The sequence below is a fragment of the Homo sapiens genome, chromosome 2 (assembly GCF_000001405.40).
Source record: "Homo sapiens chromosome 2, GRCh38.p14 Primary Assembly".
Taxonomy (NCBI): domain Eukaryota; kingdom Metazoa; phylum Chordata; class Mammalia; order Primates; family Hominidae; genus Homo; species Homo sapiens.
In genome coordinates this window covers 196,189,285-196,215,629 of record NC_000002.12, presented here as the reverse complement: position 1 = coordinate 196,215,629, position 26,345 = coordinate 196,189,285, and the positions used below count along the sequence as shown (strand labels likewise).

The window sequence follows — 26,345 nt, the reverse complement described above, 5'->3', positions numbered from 1 at the left end:
TTGTTAGCATCAGTAAAGCGACGTTGGTTATCATGCTTGTGGCTTATGATTGTGGCTCTAATCAGGTGTTTCCAGAAGCTTGAGTTTTAACTTTATAACTATTTAGAATCCCTTCAGTAAAAATTACCGTTGTAGTTTCTAAAGGATATTAGATAATGTGGATGTGCTCTAGATCTCTTTAGCCTGTCTCGTACATGTCTTAATTCCATGCTCTCTGCATTGTATTCTCATTCATAGTAAGATTACATATTTCCTTAGAATAGAAAAAAAATGCTTTGCTGTTGCTGCTAATAAAAGCAAAAGACTGATCCTTTTGCAATTTGTCAGTGTGATAATTGGGTGTTCATGCACATATGTGAGATGTGCCACCCTCAAGCCTTATTACAACGTCCACACATTACCCATCTGATATGGAAAATAGAAGCAAGGACTAGTACAAAAAGTGTTTGAGATTGAGTGGAGATAACTGGAGCTGGAGCAACAGAAAAGGAGCATATGAACAAAAGAGGAATGGAAGAAAATTTGTTTTAGAATTCCTTTATCCAATTAGTAGTAATACTGTAGCATTTTTGAGGTAAAAAGGAGCTGAAATTGCCTCTAACTTTACTAATAATACAACTATACTCTAGAGAGATTAAATGATATTAGGTACCCCAAGATGTTATCCTAAATTGAAGTATAGATGACTTTGAGAAACCTATTTTATTAGTGATATTAGGTGATATTATTGTTACTATATAAGGTGACATTAGGTACCCCAAGATGTCATCTGTTTCTTTAAGTACAAGCAACTGAGCAATCTGTTATCAAAGCTTTCTTCTTAGCAATTGAAAGATGCCAGTTCTTAAGAACTGTATTGTCAGCATCAACAGATGAGAAAAAGGGTGCTGAAAATACAAATGGAGAGAGCGATAAAGAATGACTGCTCAAGGGTTTGCCTGAGCCTCCTTGGCCACCCCACACGCATCACAGTCTGAACAGGCTGTGCATCCAGACACCTAAGTATTACCTGGCATATTTGATTTCCAAATCTGGGAATTCATTATTTGATTTCATTATTTAAAGAACTAGCTCATTTTATTTATGCTTGGATAATGAGTTTTCTCCCCTTCAACACATAAATCAACAGATTTAGCCTATCTGAATAAGGCTTTTTACTCTTCTGAGAAACTCTTTAAGAATTTGCATTGAAGAAGGAAAGGGTAGATTAATGGTCAGCTTTTTGTTGAAATCTATTTCTGTAAAGCCACTAAAGTATATGGAATAAAGTGCAACAGTAAGCAGATATGTCCACTGTTCATATTTAATCACTGTAATTTTCACCAAACCTGATGGGTAGAGACAAGTAATTTGATATAGACCTGGAGCTTTAGCTTCAGAGAGACCTAGGCTGAGTCCCACCTCTGTTACTTACCTGCAGCAGGGTCTTGGTGAAGTTGCATGATCCTTCTGAGCCTCTGTTTCCTCATCTATCTGGTGGATTTGAAATTCTGAGGATGATGTGAAATCATTCATGAAAAATACTTAATACTGTCTCTGGCCATGAGTAAGCATCCAGTCAGTGATCGCTGCCATTGTGATTTCTGTCACCATCATCTGTAATACATATCAGGCAGGATATTTGCATATTGGAAAGAGGGCAGGGGTAGGAGTTAAAAGACCTAGCTTCTAGTCCCACCTCTGCCACCAGCTAACTCTGGGACCTTAGAGAACACTTCATCTTTGAGCCTTGATTTTCTCATTTGTAACAGGCCTGGAGGAGGTGGTATATTAGGTTGGGTTGAGCAAGAAGTAACACCGAAGGGTTGCTGAAGAATCTTGAGGGTCAGGCTGGATTTGCATTTCTGCTTCCCCCTGGAGCTCCAGGAAGTTCATGTGCTAACTCATTGTAAATGGTGGTATTCTTCATTATTGTAGCATACACACAGTTGGGTAACAGGCACTGTCCTTTCTCCCTGTCTTCACTATGACCTAAGTTTGCTTCTACATTCCTAGTTTTACCCAGATTATAAAACAGCACAAATAAAGATGGTCTTAGGCACATTGAGCAAGCAGCCTCTTTTCATACCCTCTCCGTAACAAGCCCCATCTTTTGGGGTCTGATGAGAAGAAAGAGTTACTTGGCTTTTCTGCTTCAGAGTTGCAGTCACCTTATGTAACCCAGGTAACACGCAGGAGCACAGATCTAAGCCCTATGACACACTAGTTACATCATCCTAAGCAAAACCCTAGATCCATCCCTCTAAGGTAGGAGTAACAATGTTCAGAGTATTTTTGACAATTGTAAGATAATGTATATGAAAGGCTTAGGAACACTGTGTTTACTTTGTTCTTTTTTAACTTTTTATCCTGACTTTTGTAAGCCACTGTACTACTTTAACTATTAACATTGGCTCCACAAAGAATAAAAGTACATTCGGAGGGAAAAAATTAAAAGAACTTAATTGCATGACAGTATAGTTATATGAGAAGCAACTTCTTCATTGACAACATTGTCATCACCCTTAATGAAATGTGGGGCATTACTTAGGTGTAAAAAAAGATCTGTAAAATTGGTTCTGGCCTAAAGAGATTCTTTTATATTATCAAGTCCATTTCTCCTACCATCAGAACAGATACACTGAAGCCATTTTTCTGCTATTTTTTGATAGGCGTTAAGTTGCACAATGGAAGAGCTGGTCTGTCTCAAGCTAGTTGGCCCCAGTGTATTTCTTTTTCCTATGAGTGAAATGATGTTTAACATTTAAAATGTGACATGGTACAAAAAAATAACAGATGCTGGTAAGGTTGCAGAGAAAAGGGAATGCTTATACACTATTGGTGGGAGTATAAATTAGTTCAACCATTGTGGAAGACAGTGTGGCAACTCCTCAAAGATCTAAAAACAGAAATACCATTCAACCCAGCAATCTCACTACTGGGTATATACCCAAGAGAATATAAATCATTCAGTTATAAGACACATGCATGTGTATCTTCATTGCAGCTCTGTTCACAATAGCAAAGACACAGAATCAACCTAAATGCCCATCAATGGTAGACTGGATAAAGAAAATATGGTACATATATACCATGGAATACTATGCAGCCATAAAAAAGAATGAGATCATGTTCTTTGTAGGAACCTGGATGGAGCTGGAGGCCATTATCCTTAGCAAACTAACACAGGAACAGAAAACCAAATACTACATCTTCTCACAAGCGGGAGCTAAATGATGAGAACACAAGGACACATAGAGGGGAATAACACTCACTGGGGCCTAATGGAGGGTGGAGGGTCAGAGGAGGGAAAGGATCAGGAAAAATAACTAATGGGTACTAGGCTTAATACCTGAGTGACAAAATAATCTGTAAAACAAACCCCCAGTGACACAGGTTTACCTCTATAACAAACTTGCACAAGTACCCCTGAACTTAAAATTAAAAAAAAAATTACATTGCACACATGGGAGAAAAATGGATAGATGTCCTTCTTACTTAAAAAATGAATCCTGGCTGGGCATGGTGGCTCACACCTGTAATCCCAGCACTTTGGGAGGCCAAGGCGGACGGATTGCCTGAGGTCAGGAGTTTGAGACCAGCCTGGCTAACATGGTGAAACCCTGTCTCTACTAAAAATACAAAAATTACCTGGGCGTGGTGGCATACGCCTATAGTCCCAGCTACTCGGGAGGCAGGAGAATCGCTTGAACCCAGGAGGCAGAGGTTGCAGTGAGCCGAGATGGCAATGCTGCACTCCAGCCTGGGCGACAGAGCAAGACTCTGTCTCAAAAAGAAAAAAAAAGAATCCTCTAAGAAGTCTGGCATGGTCTTGTGTCGGGCATGGGAGTTTCTGCCCTGGAGGGTTGGAGGGGCTGTAAAGGATGAGGGCAGTCCTGGCAACCGGAGCAATGAGGGAGAGAATCTTAGTCTTTCTAGACAAGGATGATGGAGGGCCTTTCAATTTTCAAGCAGGCAAATGTGAGTCTCATTCTTTTCTCAGATTTCCTAGTCTCACTTTGCGGTAGCAGTGGATAGCGCTGCTCACAGTATGAGTCAAGGAGTATATAAAAGTATATATGGTTGTCTCTGCAGCCAGTGCAAGTTGAATCCATGGCTCTTTTTTCCTCTTGTGGTTATGAAGTGACTAGAGACCCAGATGATAAATAAGGATGTAGACAGAAGGGTGTCTCCATGGAGACCTACAGCCTGAGCACATGACTGCACTTCCTCTGCTTCGCGGTCGGTGGTTAGCTCTGTATTTTGCATTTCTGTGGAAGACTTCATACCCCTGGTGCTCTGATGGACTTTATGAAAAGAGAGTACATTCACTTTGTGGCAATTGCTCTCAAACAGTCCAAAAAATGCGCTGCTAAGATGCCAGCCTGAAAACTGCAGAGCAGTCCTGTCTCCCACCATGGTGTGAGTTTCTGTGTTCATCCCCCAGGTTCTTGCCAAGTTGGGTGATGGGACGGAGGACCTGAGAGCTGCAATCGTCATGGGGGTGTGTTGGTTATTGCCAAAGGGAAAAGCGTTAATTTTTGAAAATGGCTGTGTCTGGAGATTATTATGAATGAAATGCTAACTGAAATTAAGAAATAAATTGTAAGAGTTAATTATGAAATAGATGTCTTATGGAGACAGTTAATCTAATGGAATAGAACTTTAAAAGATAAAATTATTTTTTAAAAACATAACAACTTTTTGTTTTTAAAATTCTGCTTTTTGGCAGAGTGCAGTGGCTCACACCTGAAATCCCAGCACTTTGGGAGTCCAAGGCAGGCAGATCACTTGAGGTCAGGAGTTTGAGACCACCCTGGCCAATATGGTGAAACCCCCATCTCTACTTAAAAAAAAAAAAATACAAAAATTAGCCAGGCATGGTGGTGTGCACCTGTAATCCCAGCTACTCGGGAGGCTGAGGCAGAAGAATCACTTGAACCCAGGAGGTGGAGGTTGCAGTGAGCCAAGATCATGCCACTGCACTCCAGCCTGGGTGACAGAGTGAGACTCCATCTCAAAAGAAAAAAAAATCTGCTTTTTATTCTAATTTATAAAAAGAAAATTTTACAAAAAATTGCTAAGAAATATATGTATATATTAAATATATATTAAAATACCTACATATGTATCAATCCAATGTCCACCCAATGTCCACTACTAGCTGGTCATGGTGGTGCATGCTTGGAGTCCCAGGTACTTGGGAGGCTAAGGCTTGAGCATGGGAGTTTGAGTCAAACCTGAGCAACATAGAGAGATACCATTTCTGAAGGAAAAAAAAGTCAATTACTAAGATAAGCTCTGTTAACATGTTAGAGTATGTGATTTCACTCATTTCTTCAGGTACACACAGGCACACAGACACACACATACACACACACACACATTTTAAAACAACATTCCGTTTATCACATGGAACATCTTTCCATGTCATTAAATATTGCTCTGTAATGTTATCAATAATTCAGTTTTCCCTCCTCCATTATAGGGAGCATTGTCTACTGTCAAAGTGAATTATCAGCCAGTATACCGGAAAATAACCAAGTCCTGAAATACAATGTCACTTTCCTCAATTAAAAGAAAAACCAGGCTGGGCACAGTGGCTCACGCCTGTAATCCCAGCACTTTGGGAGGCCAAGGTGGGCAGATCACGAGGTCAGGAGATGGAGACCATCCTGGCTAACATGGTGAAACCCCGTCTCTACTAAAAATACAAAAAGTTGGCCGGGCGTGGTGGTGGGCGCCTGTAGCCCCATCTACTCGGGAGGCAGAGGCAGGAGAATGGCGGGAGCCCGGGAGGCGGAGCTTGCAGTGAGCCGAGATCGCACCACTGCGCTCCAGCCTGGGCGACAGAGCCAGACTCCGTCTCAAAAAAAAAAAAAAAAGAAAGAAAGAAAGAAAAACCATCAGAACAAGAGATGAGTACTAGAAGGACCCTTTGGGGCCATCTCCTTTCTATATTTGCCCTGAGGTGTCCCTCGTTGGTCTTCCTAATTCCCTACCGCCTGCTGATGAGCTGATGTGGCTTTTCGTGTGGGAGAGAATTGACAGGAGATTCTCATACAGTGGTCTGCTCTGTAGTTGAACCTCAGGTCCAAGACTCTCTTCAACTCCTTTCCCCTCTGCCCTCTCACTCAGTTCTATATAACTGTATTTTAAATTTTCACTTTATTCTGCCATTGAATCTGCATGTACTAACAAAAACATGCCAGAGTTAACCCATCACATCACCATATTAAAGATTCTTAAATGTCATATACCTTTTGGATTGGTCTTTACTTTGGGAGGTGGGTAAATTTATCATAAAAACAGATTGTATTAAAAAAAGGGACTCTTCTGTAATTAATGTAAAACGTCAAGCTATTGAAAGAATTTGTGACTTTAATGGAATGAGATAATCATTCCACTTGCATTCCATCAGCATTGTTGCTGCTGACAACAGAGGACAGGATAGTCCAAGTCAAATCTACTAAAGGTCCTTGAGAGCTATTTCACAAGTCAGATTTTAAAGTGTCTATTTGTGAGTGACAGACATTGCAACAGTTAAAGAATGCTTACCCACTTTTCCTTGGCCTCAAGAGCAAAAACCAGTTTGGGCTCATTTCTTTCCACCAGCCTAGTCCATGACACCATCCCCCCTCACCTGGACTACTGCAGTAGACTGCTGGCTAAATCCCCTGCTTCTCCTGCATCCCACCATTCATTCATTCTGCACTCAACAACCACTGGGATCTGCAAACATCTCAAGGTCACCTCCCTCCCTTGCCTACACCCTCTGGTGGCTTAGAATAAAATCCAGACTCCTTCCCAAGGACTTCCTGTGGGGCCCTGGTCTGCCTCCTCCTGCAACCTCAACATGTACCCTCTCCCCCAACCCATGACACCTACCAGCCTCCTTCTGTGTATTCCTCAAATATGCCAAACTCAATTATGCTTCAAGGCTCAGGGAATTGCTGCCTATAACACTTATCTGCTGGTCCTTCATGCCTGGCTCTTTCTTGTCCCCAAGACTCGGGTTAGAGGTGATCTCCTGAGAAAGGCCCACCAGGCTTCTGTCCTTAGTGCACCTGTCACTCTTTCACCCCTTACTTCCTTCACTAGGCTTGACCCAATTCAGTCATCATGTTCAGTTATTGGTTTACTTGTTGATTATCTGTCTCCTCCTCTGGAGTATAATCCTGTGAGAACAAGTACCTTATCTGAATTAAACATGGCTTTGCTCCTAGCAGTGAGCCCAGTGCTTAGCACATGTACTCCATAAATATTGTTTTTAGTGAATTTGAAATCTTTAGGGATAACTTTGGACCACTCCAGACAAGAAATTCCAAAATCATAATCCAGACTTTCATATCTCTGTATCCATATCTGAAAAGTTGGGATAGAAATTAGCATTTATATTACAAAGTTGTTTTGAAGATTAAATGAGATAACATGCAAAGTGCTTAGAATAAGGCCTAAAACATCATTCAATAAATTTAGCCATTCTTACTATTCTTCCTAATATCTAGCCTTCAGGGCTGGCCGGATACTTTATAGTCTTTAGGTGTGTGAGAAATGTGCCATATTCACCCAGCGTGTTTGTATTTTGTTTGGACTTACAGGGGTTTCCATTCCTGGAACTGTCCTTACTGGACTTTGTTCTGTTTGGTTTAAATTCTTACATTTGAAAAGTATGTACCCTCTTTATCTCTCCCCAGAGGCATTCACAAGTGAAGAAGGTACCTGCTCAGAATGCATAGTTTGAAGAGTTTCTTCTGCTAGTTACCCCAGATACAGGAATTCCCCCCTATGGGAATATTCCACTTTGTATTTACAGATCCAAGTGCACCTTAACCAAAGTGACCTAATGAGACTTTGGAATAAGACATTAATTAGTGAATAGATTAATTCCCCTCACCCGTCTATAGATACTCCTCATGGCTTTACTAAGTGCCGAACCTTGTGGGAGATATACGTTGACCTTAAAACACAGGGAGAGAAGCAATGGATATTTACATGAACAGATAACCAACATCATTGGTCCCAAAATGGAACATGACCAATGAGTAGTTGGAATAGCAAGCACCATAGAATTTCTTTCCATGAATTCACCTTTACCGAACACCTGGTGAAGGTCAGGGCATTGTGCTCTGCTGCCATAAGTTACACACATATTTGTGCCCTACTCTTAATAGGAATTTCTGCTCTAAACCTCATGGCCTAAGAAGGTATTCATGAGGATATTAGATAAATTATGAATATTTTAAAAATTCTAACAAGTTTTACCATTAGTTGTGTTAATAAAGCTACCCAGGCTAACAAAACTATAACTGGATTCCTTTAATGGAATTCGATCACTCTATTTAATTGGTAACTTTGGATTTCTCATGCTGATTTCACGCCCTTGAATTCATCATCTGTCCCTCTACCCATTTCCTATATTCCCTGCCTTATTTAAAGATACCTCTGCCAACCCACTTTTCTTTCTTTCATCCATGAAATAACTGGAAAAGGTTTTTGCAAGAACACTCCTGGCTTCCTGATGTGTCCCTGCCTCCCCATCTGGCCTCAGGTCCAACCTTGCCTCCTGTCCCTTAGGCGCTTGCCCCTCTCAGGTTTCCTGATGATGCAATGTCATGTTCCATCTGCTGGGAACATCCTTCTCCTTGTTGTTGATTCAGAGAAAACCTGCACACCTACAAATCTTTCAAGCCTTGGCACAGATAGTGTCCTCTATGAACCTTCCTTGGCTCTGCTGAGCAAACTTGTAACTCATAGTATTATTAACTGTTTGTATGCAGGGCCACTAATAGCCCATCTTTGGGACTAATGAAACAAAGGTGTCTCCTAGCCTTTTGGAGAAATGCAGCCTGCAGCTAGGGCTCACAATTTGGCAAGCAGAGCCAAAGGAAGGCTGGATTTCAGTTCCTGCTTGCCCCAGAGCACAGGATACACAAACTTTAGAGGGTCTTTTTGCCTGTATATTTTGCTGCCACAGTGTAAACTCCTTGAGGACAGAAACCAGACTTTTCATCCTCATCTCTCAGAGGACAGCTGAATCCCTGGCATGGAGTATATGCTTAGTAAGTACTTATTCAGCGAGTGAAGGAATAAATGAAATATAATGCAAATTGGAAAATTAAGTACATTCACATACAGAGAGAGAAATTAATCAACAAACCAATCTATGGAAATGGAAATGTAACTGATACTTTTGGCTCACTGGATTTATCTAATTGACTTGTCTATCTGTAGGGAAAAAGGGAGGGTAAGCATGTGACCTCCTGATTAACATTTTTGAAGAATCCAGAAAGCACCAAGAGATCTATTAAGTCAGACCAGATGTCTGGAGAATTTTTAAATCTTCTTAATATTGATGCCAGCATGATTTCCCAAAGATGGGTTCAGACCTGCTTTCCTTGAGTGGTTCTGGCTAAATAGATTAAAATGAGGTAAACCCATTATAGCTTTAGTGTGACTGGCTTTGAAAGATTTGAAAAATGTTCTTTTATTGAGACTGAATAGCTGGATGCACTTTTGCTGCCAACATCAACACAGTCCAGGGCCCTCCTGTTATTTTCTGCTAAAGTTTTCTTAGGACATGGAATGGGGTGGGAGTGGGGGTGTGAAAAGCCTCCAAGGATTATGTGTTGCTTGCCATTTTTTTTGTTTTTTTCCTGGCCTTGGCTCATAGAGCAAGTTGATGGTAAATATTGGGCAATTTATTTAACCACACTATTCCTCAATTTCCTTATTAGCAATGCTGTCTTGTTTATAAGGAGTTTTGAAATTTCTGCAAGCACATAAAACACTGGTGCAAATAGCCAATGTAGGTATCATGTTGCTAATCCACTTGATGCCTCTCCAATAGTGGAGACCACCTGCATCAGACTCACTTGGCATATTTATTAAAATGCATATTCCCCCAGGCCCACCCCAAACCTTCTGAATTACAATCACAAGGGGTGCAACCAAAAATCTCCATTGTAAAACAAGCTCCTGGAGTGATTTTGATACACTCTAAAGTATCCTTTTGAGTATTTGCCTTCTTCTATTAAGCCTGAGATTGAGCTAGATGGTATGATCACCTAAAAATCCCCTGGTATTTTTCAGGGTTTTCTGGATTGACTCAATCTCAGCCATTTTCCCCAGAGCTACTGCATATTGTGATTGAATTATTCATTTAAAAAATATCTGAAGCTTTATTTTGCCAATCCTTGTCCTCAAAATGTGGATAATCTAGTAGGATGTTGAGGAATAATAGTTCGTAGTCAGAGGTAGGATAAAATTAATACTCAGGCTTCCAAAAGTAAAAGAATGAAGCCATGAGCATTAATCTCCCCGCTTTCAGTTTAATGTTGGACTTTCCCTAGGAGACCCAGAACTGAGGTCCTTTTCTTGATTTGGCCACTGACTCAGCTTTGACCTTGGGAAAACCATTTAATCTTTCCACACAGTTTCCCCCTCCACAATATATGCTTTCCCCATCATCGCGAAATATTTTCCAGAGGAGCTGTTTAGTTTATTAGAAGGAAAGTTGTGTTATGGTAACCATATATTATGCAACCAGATGTAATTTATGAAGCAGCAATAGCCTTAGATTATGGATTAGTAATGCTGATTATGTCTTACGACTGCAGAGGAACAAAAAAGGTTGTCTAGTCCTTCCCTTTGCCTTCCCTTTGTGTTGAGAACTGAAAAGAGTATTTAGGCTTGTGGATTTACTGGATAAGCTTCTAGAGTACCTGCAAAGATACTACAGAAATGGCAAAGAGACATTCAAAGTTCCTGTTTCTCTACTCAGAAACCTGGGAGAATGAAAGAACTGTTGCCAACCCCTAGCTTTGTTTCACCACCTGTCCTGGATAGATGATTCTACTGTATCACACTTAACATCACATTTGCCACCTTTTCTTGAACTGTTTCACTACCTTGAGACCTGTTACTGGTTCTACTGATGCAAAACAAATTACCACAAATTTAGCAGTGTAAAACAACACACATTTATGATCTCACTGTTTTCATGGAGCAGGCATCCAGGCACAGCTTAGCTGGGTCTTCTGCTCATGGTCTCACAAGGCTGAAATCAAGCTGTGGGTGGGGCTGCATTCTCATTTGGAGGACCAACTAGGGAAGAATCTGCTTCCAAGTTCCCTTGGGTTGTTGGCAGCATTCATTCCTTGCAGCTATAGAATTCATAGTAGCTTCCTTCTTCAAATTCAACAACAGTGAGAGTCTCTCTTGATTTTAATAAGAAATCCTAAGGCTTTAAAAGGTGAATGGACTTCATACCCATTACAATAGCTATTATAAAACAAACAAACAAACAAACAAAAAACAAGAAATAAGTGTTGGTGAGGATGTAGAGAAATTGGAACCCTTGTGCACTGTTGATGGAAATGTAAAATGTTGCAGCCACTATGAAAAATGCAATATGATGTTGCACTTCTGTGTATATCCCCCAAAAAATTGAAAAGGAGGACTTAAACAGATAATTGTACACTCATGTTCATAGGAGCATTATTTACAATAGCCAAACGGTAGGAAAAAAACTCCTGTTCATTAATGGATGAATGAATAAAGAAAATGTGGTATATACATACAATGGAACATTATTCAGCCTTAAAAAGGAAGGAAATTCTGACCCATGCTACAACATCAACCTTAAAATATGCTAAGTGAAATAAGCCAATCACAAAAGACAAATATTTTAAGATTCCACTTATATGAAGTACATAGGGTAGTGAAATTCATAGAGACACAAAGTAGAATGGTGGTTTCCAGGGGCTAGGGGGAGAGGAAATGGGAGTTACTATTTAATGGATACAGATTTCAGTTTTGCGAGATGCAGAAGTTCTGGAGATGGATAGTGATGATGGTTGCAAAATAACGTAGGTGTACTAATGCCATGGTACTGTGCACTTAAATATAGTTAAAATGGTAAATGTTATATTATGTATATTTTATCACAATAAAAATACTGAAAAGTTAATCGGGCAAGAGAGATGAACATATGGATCACAAAACAGGAAATGTAAAAAGCAAGAGGACATGGGGGAAAGATGCTCAACCTTATTGGTAACCAAAGAAATGAAAATTGTAAAATAGTATTGTGGTGTCATCTGTTAGTCTAATAGGATAATAAATGTTATTTGTCTGACACACACAGTTTGGCATAGAATTATATTCAAAACGTATTCTACTTTTCTGCTTCTTCCTCCCCTACCCCTGGAACAGAGATAAATCTTTATTTAATATTTTTATTCCAGTGTTTCACAGATGATAGATTATAAACCACTGCTAGGACTCTAGTGTAGTATACAAGTTGAATTTTTAAATAAGTAAAACCTTTTCTTGAGGCTCAATTTGCGTTCCAGTCTAAGGATATCAAATGCAATTCTGAAATGCTTATTGTATCAAAAAAGGGTTTGCCTGCAAAGATTCATTAGATGATTTCCACCAATATATCCCAGAGTTTACAGTACTAGGAGTGGGTGAGTCGGTACTATCTCTATACCCTAAAACTCATACAGTTGGAGTATCCCTAGTCAAAAAATTTTAAATCTAAAATGCTCCAAAATCCAAAACTTTTTGAGTGCCAACATGATGCCACAAGTAGAAAATTTCACAACTGACCTCATATGACAGGGTGCAGTCAAAAACGCGGTCAAAACTTTGTTTCATGAACCAAATTATGTAAATATGGTATAAAATTACCTTCAGTCTGTGTATACAAGGTGCATGTGAAACGTAAATGAATTTCATGTTTAGACTTGGGTCCCATTCCCCAAGATATCTCATTATATATATGCAAATATTCCAAATTCCAAAGAAATCTGAAATCCAAAGCACTTCTGGTGCCAAGCATTTTGGATAAGGAATACTCTATCTGTATTCTTACAATATAACAGATCCTGTTCACATTCCTGTTTTTAATAAGCCATGTGGCCACACACCTGCTTTATTATCCCTTTATTATCTCATCATTCTCATGGGTCATTACTATTTGTGGCAATTCACTGAAGGCAATTAGAGTCAAATCTTGTTGATAGTAATGAAATGTAGCTAACAATACCTCTATTATTAATTGGTCAAACACTATGAGCCAGTCATTCTATTAAGCATGTTTCTGTTATTTCACTTAATCCTCACATCCTTCTCAGACAAGTTATATAACCACCCTTTTAAAGGTGAGAAATACGGGCTCAGAGTTTTAATAACTCACTCCAAATCACACACTTGTTGATAGAGCTAGAATCCAAACCCAAATATGTCCAACTGCAAATCTCTGGTCTTCCCACTACATTACACTGCATCCAGGAATATTAATTATATTTATTTCATAAGGAAAAGGGATTTATCAGAGTAAAAGTATAGACATGTGACTTTGTAGAAATAGCTTGTTAATAATCATAGTTCCTAAAATTTCTTATTCAGGAGTATTTTTTTTAAGTCAAAGTTATGTAGGTCCCCCAAACAAGCTGTTGTACATTCAGAATAGAATGTTTCCTATTTCATGTCAAAAGTGCAGATTTGCTTCCTGATAAGATGTACTATTTGGAGACTGTCTATTTTTTATTGTGATTCAGATGCAAATAACAGGAAAACATATTTTTTTCCTATCTTGGCAAAAGAAGTATTTCTAAAAAAGAATACTTAATGTAATGATTTAAATTGCTTATTTTGTTATTGTGAATTGGGAGAAAGCAAATTTTAGCACAGGATTCAAAGAAGTAACAATGGCCTACTGACTTAGAAAAGTCCAGCCAGGGAATTTCCCAAGACTCTAAGCCATGAGGCAGGCCCTCAGAGACACTGGCTCCTCTTCCCTGTCCAAGAAAATGAAAAAATGCATAACTACAGAGTATCGAAGAGACACCCAGGCATATGCCAACTCAAAATGAACTACTTTGCAAGGCCTTATGTCCGTGTATTAAAAAAAAAATCTAGCATCAAAAGAGAAACAAAAACCAAACTTGTCTTTGTAATCCTTAGACCACTCAATAAATGGTCATTTATATGTAATATAGCTTTTAAATGGTGGTGAAATGTAAATAAAATATTTTTTTAAATATCCTCTTTTCCTTAGAGAAATTCAGTTCTGAATTTTTAAGGTCAAAATGTTTTCAAAGATTTTTCAAAAGGAGTGTGAAAATTGGCAACAAATAAATTTGAATGTGAAAGACAGTCATACACACACAGACACACACACACACACACACCACACACATTTTCATTTCACTCGGCCTGTTCTAAACTATGTGCTGTTTCTTGTGTTTTCAGAGCGCATACATGTTTTAACCGTCTGGATCTGCCTCCCTACCCATCCTTTTCCATGCTTTATGAAAAACTGTTGACAGCAGTTGAAGAAACCAGTACTTTTGGACTTGAGTGACCTGGAAGCTGAATGCCCATCTCTGTGGACAGGCAGGTTCAGAAGCTGCCTTCTAGAAGAATGATTGAACATTGGAAGTTTCAAGAGGATGCTTCCTTTAGGATAAAGCTATGTGCTGTTGTTTTCCAGGAACAAGTGCTCTGTCACATTTGGGGACTGGAGATGAGTCCTCTTGGAAGGATTTGGGTGAGCTTGATGCCCAGGGAACAACCCAACCGTCTTTCAATCAACAGTTCTTGACTGCCAAACTTTTTCCATTTGTTATGTTCCAAGACAAAGATGAACCCATACATGATCAGCTCCACGGTAATTTTTAGGGACTCAGGAGAATCTTGAAACTTACCCTTGAACGTGGTTCAAGCCAAACTGGCAGCATTTGGCCCAATCTCCAAATTAGAGCAAGTTAAATAATATAATAAAAGTAAATATATTTCCTGAAAGTACATTCATTTAAGCCCTAAGTTATAACAGAATATTCATTTCTTGCTTATGAGTGCCTGCATGGTGTGCACCATAGGTTTCCGCTTTCATGGGACATGAGTGAAAATGAAACCAAGTCAATATGAGGTACCTTTACAGATTTGCAATAAGATGGTCTGTGACAATGTATATGCAAGTGGTATGTGTGTAATTATGGCTAAAGACAAACCATTATTCAGTGAATTACTAATGACAGATTTTATGCTTTATAATGCATGAAAACAATTTTAAAATAACTAGCAATTAATCACAGCATATCAGGAAAAAGTACACAGTGAGTTCTGTTTATTTTTTGTAGGTTCATTATGTTTATGTTCTTTAAGATGTATATAAGAACCTACCTATCATGCTGTATGTATCACTCATTCCATTTTCATGTTCCATGCATACTCGGGCATCATGCTAATATGTATCCTTTTAAGCACTCTCAAGGAAACAAAAGGGCCTTTTATTTTTATAAAGGTAAAAAAAATTCCCCAAATATTTTGCACTGAATGTACCAAAGGTGAAGGGACATTACAATATGACTAACAGCAACTCCATCACTTGAGAAGTATAATAGAAAATAGCTTCTAAATCAAACTTCCTTCACAGTGCCGTGTCTACCACTACAAGGACTGTGCATCTAAGTAATAATTTTTTAAGATTCACTATATGTGATAGTATGATATGCATTTATTTAAAATGCATTAGACTCTCTTCCATCCATCAAATACTTTACAGGATGGCATTTAATACAGATATTTCGTATTTCCCCCACTGCTTTTTATTTGTACAGCATCATTAAACACTAAGCTCAGTTAAGGAGCCATCAGCAACACTGAAGAGATCAGTAGTAAGAATTCCATTTTCCCTCATCAGTGAAGACACCACAAATTGAAACTCAGAACTATATTTCTAAGCCTGCATTTTCACTGATGCATAATTTTCTTATTAATATTAAGAGACAGTTTTTCTATGGCATCTCCAAAACTGCATGACATCACTAGTCTTACTTCTGCTTAATTTTATGAGAAGGTATTCTTCATTTTAATTGCTTTTGGGATTACTCCACATCTTTGTTTATTTCTTGACTAATCAGATTTTCAATAGAGTGAAGTTAAATTGGGGGTCATAAAAGCATTGGATTGACATATGGTTTGCCAGCCTATGGGTTTACAGGCATTGCCCAAACATTTCTTTGAGATCTATATTTATAAGCAGCCATGGAATTCCTATTATGGGATGTTGGCAATCTTACATTTTATAGAGGTCATATGCATAGTTTTCATAGGTGTTTTGTAAGAACTGATTGCTCTCCTGTGAGTTAAGCTATGTTTACTACTGGGACCCTCAAGAGGAATACCACTTATGTTACACTCCTGCACTAAAGGCACGTACTGCAGTGTGAAGAAATGTTCTGAAAAAGGGTTATAGAAATCTGGAAATAAGAAAGGAAGAGCTCTCTGTATTCTATAATTGGAAGAGAAAAAAAGAAAAACTTTTAACTGGAAATGTTAGTTTGTACTTATTGATCATGAATACAAGTATATATTTAATTTTGCAAACTTTTCACTTGTTTGTATTCTTTTCATTATAAGGAAAAGTAGTATAACACACTTTTTTTTAAGTCACATATTTGATGGTATACAAGATGTTTCAGGGCTGGCATTCTCCAAGCAGCAGATAAAGGTTGCATTTCTTTCAAAAATACATTCAAAGACCATGTTATCCTTCATTTTGGTTTGAGACATTTAGTTATGGTATTTCATATTATTAGGTAAAAGATATTTGAAATAAAATGTATCTCTTTAATTATTTCTAACAAATATATTTCTTTATTAAGGCATCCAACTTTTTCCCAAATAACAGTACACTTTAATGTATGTAGACATTCTTAATTAGTATAATCATCTAGTTGATACTGTTCTCAGATTGGGAATTATCAAAGATGTACTTATCATATCAGAACACCATGCTAACTTATCTATTATTCTTTCTTAGTAAAACAAAACAGCCAGTAATAACTATATAAAATATTAAATAACATTTCCACAGAATAAATTAGACTTTCATGTACTCTACAATTAGAAATATCCATAAATATTTTCTTCTGGACTGTGAACCCAGATAACTAGGCTTTCTGGTCTTATTTTAAGTGATGCTCTTTATACTATAGAAGACACTCTTAATACATCATATATGTATGCAGAACATCTCTTAGATGAGAGAACAAGCACATCATTGGCATTCCCTCTGTGCCAGTTTGATGTTTGTTTGACGATGGAGCTACAAGAGTCTAAATCTGCCTTTGAAAAGCTCAGCTCACAGTGTAGTAGAGTAGACTCCAAGGTTCAAAAAAGTGTTTTTAATAAAATTTGGTAAGTTCTACAATCAAGGAATGAAGAGAGAAGAGAACAGCTTTTTCCATCTGGGAGATTCAATAATGGCTTCATATATAGATGATAGTGTGGCTAAAAAAAATTACATCAATGCTGTTTCTATTGGGAAGCAATGGCAAGTAATAGTATGTCAATACTGGTCAAGTGTTGAAGCCAGGATGCACTTACACAACGAGAGTGTAAAGTGTGTAGGGAGCTGATCTGTGAAGGAGCAACTCAAAGATTTTGAAATTATCAGTGAAATGCCAAAACAGGGAAAGTTTCCCTGTTTCCCTTCATCTATTCTACAATGCACCATTGGTTTTCAGTGTGAAAAATCCCAATCCCTGAGCCCAAACCACTTCTGGGGTCAAAACATTTTTCTTGTGCACAAAATGAATGGATCTTGGTCAAAGAAGTATGGTCACAATTTTCTAGCATATATTGCGTTTATAATTTAGCAGAAATTCTGCAATAAATAAAGGAAAATCTGTTTTACCTGTGCAACAATCAGAAATGGTAAAAATGCATTCAAGTGTTTGAAAGAAATGGTAGAATATGCTTGCATAGTGCTTTATAGTTTCAAAGTGCTGTCAGGTACATCGTCCGTTTAGCTCCTCACGCACTTTGTAGGGTACAAGCATCATGTTCCATCTGGGTTGTGGCTGATTTTCATGGATGGCTTGTGGCATCAGTTTCATTACTTCATAGTCACAATTCTGTGTTTCATCTTGAGAAATGTGGAGACTAATGTTTGTACCAGTATATTCCACATTCAGTGAGGTTTCCAAGATGCTTCCTCCAAACTCTCACTTTCTTAAACAGATACATTTAAAATATGACACCTTCTGAAAAGTCCATAAAGAAATTAGTATATTCATGGAAAAAATTTCCCCGTAGACTTATTTGCATTTCATGACTTGACATGAGAAATTTAAAAAACAGAAGGCAAAATGTGATTGCTTTTGATGGATTTATACAGAATAGTCATTTAATTTTCTCAAGTATTATTTGGAAACAAGATAATGGAAAACATTAATCAGAAGCCTTATTTTATTTTTAAATTTTTAATAGGGATGGATCTAGTAAGCCCTAATAGCTGAGTTCCAGTGATAAAATTCACAAATTTTATTTATGATTGGACCACTTCTAACAAGGCAAATATCTTATAATGAAGATAGGAGTCTGTTCAATTTAACCTTATTCAGGAAACTCCGTATTTATGTGAAATGATGCAATGCCATTATTAAGAGGTATCTGTAACCCTGCATAATAAAAACATGCATAAGAAGAATGTGGTCTAATCTCCAAACTGAGTCTCAGTTTCAGGGCCTTTTGCTTTCTTTGTTTGTTTGTTTGAGACAGTCTGGCTCTGTCATCCAGGCTGGAGTGCAGTGGCACATGAGCTCACTGCAACCTCCACCTCCCAGGCTCAAGCGATCCTCCCACCTCAGCCTCCTGAGTAACTGGGACTACAGGCGCATACCACCACACCTGGCTAATTTTTGTATTTTTGTAGAGACAAGGCCCAGGCACGTCTCAAACTCTTGAGCTCAAGCGATCCGCCCGCCTTGGCCTCCCAAAGTGCTAGGAGTAATTATAGGTGTGAGCCACCATGCTGGCAGTTGTTTTTGTTTATTTGTGATAAGGTCTGGCTGTCACCCATGCTGGAGTGCAGTGGCATGATCTTGGCTCACTGCAACCTCTGCCTTCCAGGCTCAAGCCAGCCTCCCACCTCAGCCTCCGAGTAGCTAGGACTACAGGCATGCACCACCATGCCCAGCTAATTTTTTTATATTTTTTGTAGACACAGGGTTTTGCCACGTTGCCCAGGCTGGTCTTGAACTCCTGAGCTCAAGCAGTCCTCCCACCTTGGCCTCCCGAAGTGCTGGGATTACAGACGTGAGCCTCTGGGCCTTGCTCTGTTTTGTCTGCTTTCTGATTTAGTAGGTGAGGGACAGCACTCTGGACCTTAGCCATTTTACTTCCATCTTACTGCCGTGAGTTTGATGAGAATGTCACTTTTAGACTCTAATTTTCAAAAACTTAGTTTCTTTCCCATTCATTTGTGTTTTCCAAATTAATTTGTTTGTCTAGTATGGATGCAAAGGAATGCTGAAGACATTAAAGCTTTCTGAATTGTGGCTTAAGGCCAGCTACTGCCCACTGAAAGGATGATAAAAATAAAAAAGGAGGAAAGAGGAGCCCAGCAGTTGTGCCACCCCGCAAGAATATAATGCTAATTATTGACCAACTGTCAAGATTCAGAGTGGTAACTGCATTCCGAGGAGCTGTCAGGAAGGATGACCGTGTGTGTGCTGTCCATATCATAGCCATCTGGGTCAGAAGGAGCGAAAGGATGGTTAGGACAGGAGTGTAGTGGAGGGAAAGTTAAAACAACGGTAGATGGATCATCTTAGGGCTTGCTGGTGGGGGTAGGAACATACTTCAATTTGGTTTCAGACTGAGAAGAAGAAAGCTATGCTCCCTGATGAAGGCACAGTTTGATCTACTAGATGGGAAATACCCTCATTTTATAACTTCAGTAATTTAACATTTTCTGTATTGCAAAGTGGAATTTAGTCCCAAAGTATTAAAGCTAACCATAGCTTGATCAGGAGATTTGACAATTTAGCATAAAATTATGTTGTGGATTTTTTTATTTAAGAATTATTGTTACTATTATTGAACACCATGTATGAAATGAAAGAAAGGGTGCTTTTATTTCATTATACTTATTTGGTTTTTTTAGCGGACATCCCTTGACATTAGAATAGCATTTGAGACATTTTCATGATTTCTAAAGATAACTTAAATGCTCTCTGTTAATCTGGAAAGTGAAATCCTAAGAGTGAGGTTGCAAATGGAGACTAAATTAGTGTTTCCAAGTCAGGAAGTTAATCAAGACCGGAAATAGATTTGCTTAGATTTTATCTGCAGAGTCGTTTATTTGGCTTTCGTAATTGAACAGCTCAGCAGAATAAGATGGCCCTAGTTGTATGGTTTCTGGGGAACACAGGAGAATTAAATTTATATATGTGATTTTTATGTGTAGTGCCCTTGGGCAGGTGATATCTTTCTATATGACTTTTAAGATATTACAACCTGAGGAGTGTGGATAGCCGTGTTGTGTGATTCAAACTGAATCAGCTATTACTGATGCAGGTAAGGAACCATCAGTCAACTTCTGGTTACTATCACCTTCATAAAAAAGAATGGATGATGTTCAGGAATTACCTTGGAAGGATTAACCAGGAATTAACACAGAATGGGATGTTCTTTTAGGACCCTAATGCTCTAAAAGATAAAATTACAACCTATTTTTCTTTATATGATAGCATAAGTAAAATTTGGGGCTGTTAATATGTTGGAAAGTGCTTAAAATTACATGTTTTTATAATAGGGATGCAGGCATTCCAAAATAAATGAATAAAAATACATGCATCTCTCTCGCCTCTTACTGAAAGTATTAATCTAATTTTATAGTAATGATTACTTTTTAATATTAAGGCTCTGTAAAAAAATTATTTCTAAGATTTCAGTAGAACACAGGTGGTGTATTTTTTTAAGCTTTTAATTTCTCTTCACCAACCTCAGTCATTACGTTCACCACACAGTGTGTCACAGTTAATAGTGGTATTTCAGTTTTTGCGTTGATTTAAGCTTCATATTTATTTAATGTGACTTTTGATGGAGAATAATAATGGGAGATGCTTGCTGTTAGCATTAAGGTTATACAGCTCTCACTTCACCTTATATGTAATTTTTTTTTCAAAGTAAATAATGCAGATTGTTGACATCCTAGAAATGGTTTCTGGGTGGTATTATATGGGGCCTAGGACTCTGAACTGGGACTAGTTGTTTATTTTCTGGGAAGTCTGTATTCTTATTCTCAACTGAACCCCTGACTCTTTTGTTGTATTTTTTATGATTCCGAAATGCTTTGAGGGAAAGATATTTTAATGTGTACAATTTGTTTTATTTTCATACTGATCTCTATTTTTGTTTAAAACCATGTTGCATCATGAAATCACTTAATCCAAAATAAATCTTCTTTAAAAAAAATAGATTATGACTTTTCTGTAATACTTTTGGGGAGGGAAAACTCAGAAGGGAGGAGAATAGAAGTAGAGATAAAGATTTCATGGCATTAGTTTGCAGCTCTATAAATATTGGAGGTTCTGTTTTCATAGTATTTATAGTATTTTGTTTATTTTTATTTATATTTTTATTATTTATTAATAAAATATTTGTTTATTTTGTTTGGAATCTACTTTGTTTATCCCTACAAGAATATTTTACTGTTTGATGGGCTGTTAATGTTAAAGGAATGAATTATAATACAAATCATAATTTCTTAACTCACATGGGTTGAGACTATTTGTTAAGCCATCTTATTTGAATGTTTAATTTATAAACACATAGGCACACCACTGCCGCCGCCACCACTACCACGCACATCAATTTAATCTAGGGGTCGCGTGTGCATATGCCTACAGGGACCAGATAGGTATTTAACGAGTGAAATTGGCTAGGTGGAAGCAACACACAGTGGTAGGGCTTACATAAAGGGACATTCTAATATTTTGCTCCAGCAGATCCTAGCCACATGAAATTCCAGTCTAGTGTTAAAAGATCTAATATATCAAGGGAAACCCAGAAACCCAAATTTTTGTGTGATATTTCCAGATCTTTTTAGTAGTGGGTGGATCAAACCAAATATAGCTACACATTGATTTGCCCTGCAGGTCACCAGTTTGGAACCCTTGTTTTAATGGATAACATTATCTTTTATATTTAGTTGACTAGTGGTGTAAATTGGCCAGATAAGTAAAATGTTACTAAAACACGGCAGTTAATAAAAAGAGATGGGGAATATATATATAGCGCCATATATATATGTGTGTGTGTGTGTGTGTATATATATATATCTCTACACACTATGAGGGCAGTCAATCACTAAGGGGTGCCCTTAAAATGATCTGTATTTAGCAACTCATGTTAATTTATATGAATTAACTCGTGAAAACCAACTTGTGTTAATTCATATGAGTTAAGAGCAACCCTGTCAAGATTTCATGGAATACGTGTGCCATTAAGCTTCTTATTACATATTTTACACTAGAAATGAACTTCATATATCACATGACAGCATTTAAGCAGAAGATTCATCTCCTATCACCGACTGAAGTCTGACATTGTTATTGAAGGGGGAAGAGGGGGAAGAGCAAGATACTGATTCACAGCACTGACTTCTGGCTTTTGTGCCATGACATCCCTCTGTATCCTTGGACCTCAGTGTGTTTTTAGAATGATAAATATATCTGCCTTCGTAATTTCCTTTAATCCTGAACCCCATTTAATTAGTGAGAGTTTAGTAACAAATAATAATGAATAATTCCCACTATCCACCATCCCAGGAAGTCTTTCATACTGTTCTTTATTTCATACTTAAACCAGTTAAAGACATTCTGGTTTAAGTATGAAGTAAAGTTTAAGTATGAAGTTGAAGTCTCTTCATACTTTTCTCCTCCTTTTCTTGCTCAAAAATGTTGACCCATTAACTACTTTTTTTCCCCTTCTAAATAGATACCTCATTTGTCAGCCAAAGTTAACTTTGGAATCGCAAGAATAAAGAAATGAGAACATCTGATAAAGATATAATGTTTACCTTGATACACATGAGTTTCACACACTTTATTTGTCCTATTATTTTCAAATCCTTGTATGGATAGATGCTTCCAAAAGATGTTTAATCACTGGTGTTTCACTTAGAAAGGAAAAGCTAGGGGCCAGGAGCAGTGGCTCAGGCCTGTAATCCCAGCACTTCGGGAGGCCGAGGCAGGTGGATCGCCTGAGGTCAGGAGTTCGAGACCAGTCTGGCCAACATAGTGAAACCCCATCTCTACTAAAAATACAAAAATTGACTGAGTGTGTTGGCCGGCGCCCGTAATCCCAGCTACTGGGGAGGCTGAGGCAGGAGAATCACTTGAACTGGGGAGGCGCAGGTTGCAGTGAGCCGAGATGGCACCATTGCACTCCAGCCTGGGCAACAAAGAGCAAAACTCCATCTCAAAAAAAACAAAAAGAAAGAAAGAAAAGAAAAGCTAGAAAAGTGTAAATTATTGGAACAATATATATTTTCTGACAATTTATAATGTGATTAAATACCACCCTTGCTACACAGAATACCACCCCTTGGCTAGTATAAGAATTCATATCTAGGTTGGTATTCATTTGGCATGGAAAATGGACCCCAAGTCCAAATTCTTGAACCTCATCAACACATCCCTCTCCCTGCTCCTGCCCCCAAATTAAATTCCTGATTTCATGGCCAAGTAAAGACCTACTTTTTATTACTATGAGGCTTTTGTCCCAACATCCAAATTAATCTCTTTAGAATTGAATTCAACCATATGAATGACATCTTTTGAGTATAAGTAGAGTCAGGTCTAAGAAGACTGAATGCTTTAAAAATGCATGTTTGTGTCCTCTCAAAATCTATATGTTAAAACCTAATTTCCAATGTGATAGTGTTTAGAGATGGGGCCTTCGAGAGGTGACTAGATCCTAAAGGTGGAACTATCATGAATGGGATTAGTGCCCTTATAAAAGAAACCCCATAGATTCCTTCTGCCATGTGAAAACACAGTGAAAAGACAGCAATCTATGAACCAGGAAGCCAGCCCTTAACAGGCTCCAAATCTGCCAGAGCCTTGATCTTGAACTGCAGAACTGTAAGAGATAAATTTTTGTTGTTTATAAACTACCAAGTCTCTGGTATTCTGTTACAGCAGTTCAATGGACCAAGGCCCAAAAGAGGCCAAGAGGTTGCTTGTTTTTTCCTAAACCCACATTCACAGCTTGACCTTCTACATCTTATTTCAAGGGAAGGCAAATTCCAGAAAGAGAAAGCCGGCATATAAAGAGAAGTAGGATAATATATTTTCTAATACTTAAAGCAGCGCTGGTCCAGATTGCCCACTTCAGGTCTTCTTGGGGCAGAGGAACCCTGAATGAAAAGAGTCCAGGTCCTTCTGATAGGTCCAGAAAAATGGGAGGGCTCCCAGATGAGATGGTCATACTTGCATAAGGATGGGCAACTTCCCTACACTCCAGCCTCATGGCCTGGAAATTCAAGAGAAATCTGAAGTGATCAAATCCCCAAGAAGAACACAACTCTGGATTCTTGAGCCTGTCCTAACTAGAACAGTGCTTCTCTGGGAGGAAGGGAGGGAGAATGAAGAGGAGCCATGCATTTCCCTTAGGGGCCAATTCTAGCCTTGAATGGTTGGCTTTCCAGAACAAAACAAGCCATTTTTAACTGTTAACTAAAGAGCTATTAACCAATTAGTGCTAATTTACTATTACTCCATATCAGCATTTCTTCAACTTTGTATCAAATCACCAATAATAATAAAGGACCCTTCAAATATGAACATGCAGCTAGCTCTACCAATACAAAATTATTCGTGTTTCATTTATTTTTAAGTAAATTTAAATTGTTCATATGTCAAACTGGGTTTCAATTTAAAAATATAATTTTTCCCCTTTAGCTTTAATAGCCACTTGTTATTATTAAGTAACCCTAAGTATTAAAGACATTGGATGATACACTAAGATACTACTTTGATTTTGCCTCTTCCTTGACTTGCTGCTTTGTACCCTGAGGTGTGTGTATCACTGGTTTGAAAAGCAATGTATATATCATCAGAGTCTCTTCTCACACCATAGTACTGATAATTTGGAGCGAAAATGTTTGGGTTTGTTTTTCTCTCATCTGCAATTAGCCTGTCTGTTATGTCACTCATAATAATGTTTAAGGAGGAATGAAGATAACAGGCTGCCTGAAACTTAGAACCAAGCAGGAATACCAATAATGTGGTGGCTGGAGTGTATGTACCTATCTTTTTCATCCTGCCACGGAGTTTAGGTGTGGTAATGGTTGTATGAGTGCACGTTAGCAAATGTATTCTAACTGACTTTGCACCTGTCCTTAGCTAAGTCTTTTTTACTTAAGACATAAAATAATATTTCAAAATTAGCCCTACTCCTTGGAGAAATGACTGCTTCTAGGAAATATACAAGATAAGCCTAGAGCATCTTGTAGTGCTAGAAACTGAAGTGAGTTTTAAAAATAAAACCAAAAAACACCATGAGAGTCTGTCAAAGGGATGCAGGAGCTAACTAAAAGAGCTCCAGTGGCCAAAGCTGGAACAGTTTGGACAACAAAATAAAGTAGTATCTGATTATAACACAAAGTTATTTTATATAACTAAGTTCATACTGATAAATAATTGATTGAATAATTAATAAATGAAGAGACAAATCTGGGCAGAAGAATTCCAAACAATTTATGTAGATACTCCACTCTTAAGTGGGGGCTACCCATACTGACTTCTTTCCAAAGAGTACAGCAAAGGAAGGAGGAAAGGGGAGAAAAGTTACGGTGAAGAAGCCGGAGAAACACTACCTCAGCCAGATGCTCAAGTTCAACATCAACAGTTATAAATCACGTGAATAGTGTGTGCCTTTGATATGATGGGATAAAAATGACACTTTATCTCTGTGGTCTTTCTTCCCAAATACATAATCCCAATGTAACCATGAGAAAATAATCAGACAATCTCTAATAGAGGGACACTCTACAAAATAGCTAACCAGTGCTCTTCAAAGCTGTCAAAGCCATCAAAACCAAGAAAAGTCTGAAAAATGATCACAACCAAGAGGAGCCTAATGAGATATGATGACTAAGTGGAATGTGGTGTCCTGGATAGGATCCTAGAACAGAAAGACAACATTGGGTAAATACAAAAGAAATTTGAATAATGTATGGACTTTAGTTAATAAAAATGTGTTGATTTCTTAATTATAGCTATTGTGCCATACTAATGTAAGATGTTGGCAAGGGAAACTAGTGTGAGGTATATGGAAACTCTACTATTTTCTCAATTTTTCTATAAATCTAAAACAATTTTTTAAAATTAAAGTATTTAAAATTTAATAGCTAATTTTAAAATTAGCCCTAAAAGCAGAATATGTAACACAGCCCCCCAGATCAATTCATTAATGGTTCTTTACTCATAGGGTAACAAGAGGCCAATCTTTAACTGCAACCAAATAGCAACTATAACAATGAGCACAGACAACTG

The 26,345-nt window shown here is 38.0% G+C and overlaps 1 protein-coding gene and 1 non-coding gene across 13 annotated transcripts in view, besides 1 other annotated feature; both read left to right on the top strand.

The window, feature by feature from the left end:
* The window catches only part of HECW2 (HECT, C2 and WW domain containing E3 ubiquitin protein ligase 2), a 399,483-nt gene extending 377,925 nt beyond the window's left edge, over window positions 1-21,558 (top strand). For all 12 annotated transcript variants that reach the window (NM_001348768.2, XM_006712646.4, XM_047445197.1 and 9 more), the window contains one exon: window positions 14,242-21,558. In NM_001348768.2, the coding sequence (NP_001335697.1) occupies window positions 14,242-14,353 (112 nt within the window). In that variant the 3' untranslated portion in view covers window positions 14,354-21,558. The remainder of the gene's footprint in view (window positions 1-14,241) is intronic.
* LOC124906154 (small nucleolar RNA U13) lies at window positions 308-411 on the top strand. The gene has a single exon (XR_007088743.1). It is a non-coding gene; the product is annotated as a small nucleolar RNA U13 (small nucleolar RNA).
* Window positions 3,855-3,904: an enhancer, noted in NCBI's record as "active region_16899". NCBI's record gives its function as "activates an Ori minimal core promoter by ATAC-STARR-seq in GM12878 lymphoblastoid cells {active_cell/tissue: GM12878}" and the evidence as "EXISTENCE:reporter gene assay evidence [ECO:0000049][PMID:35858748]".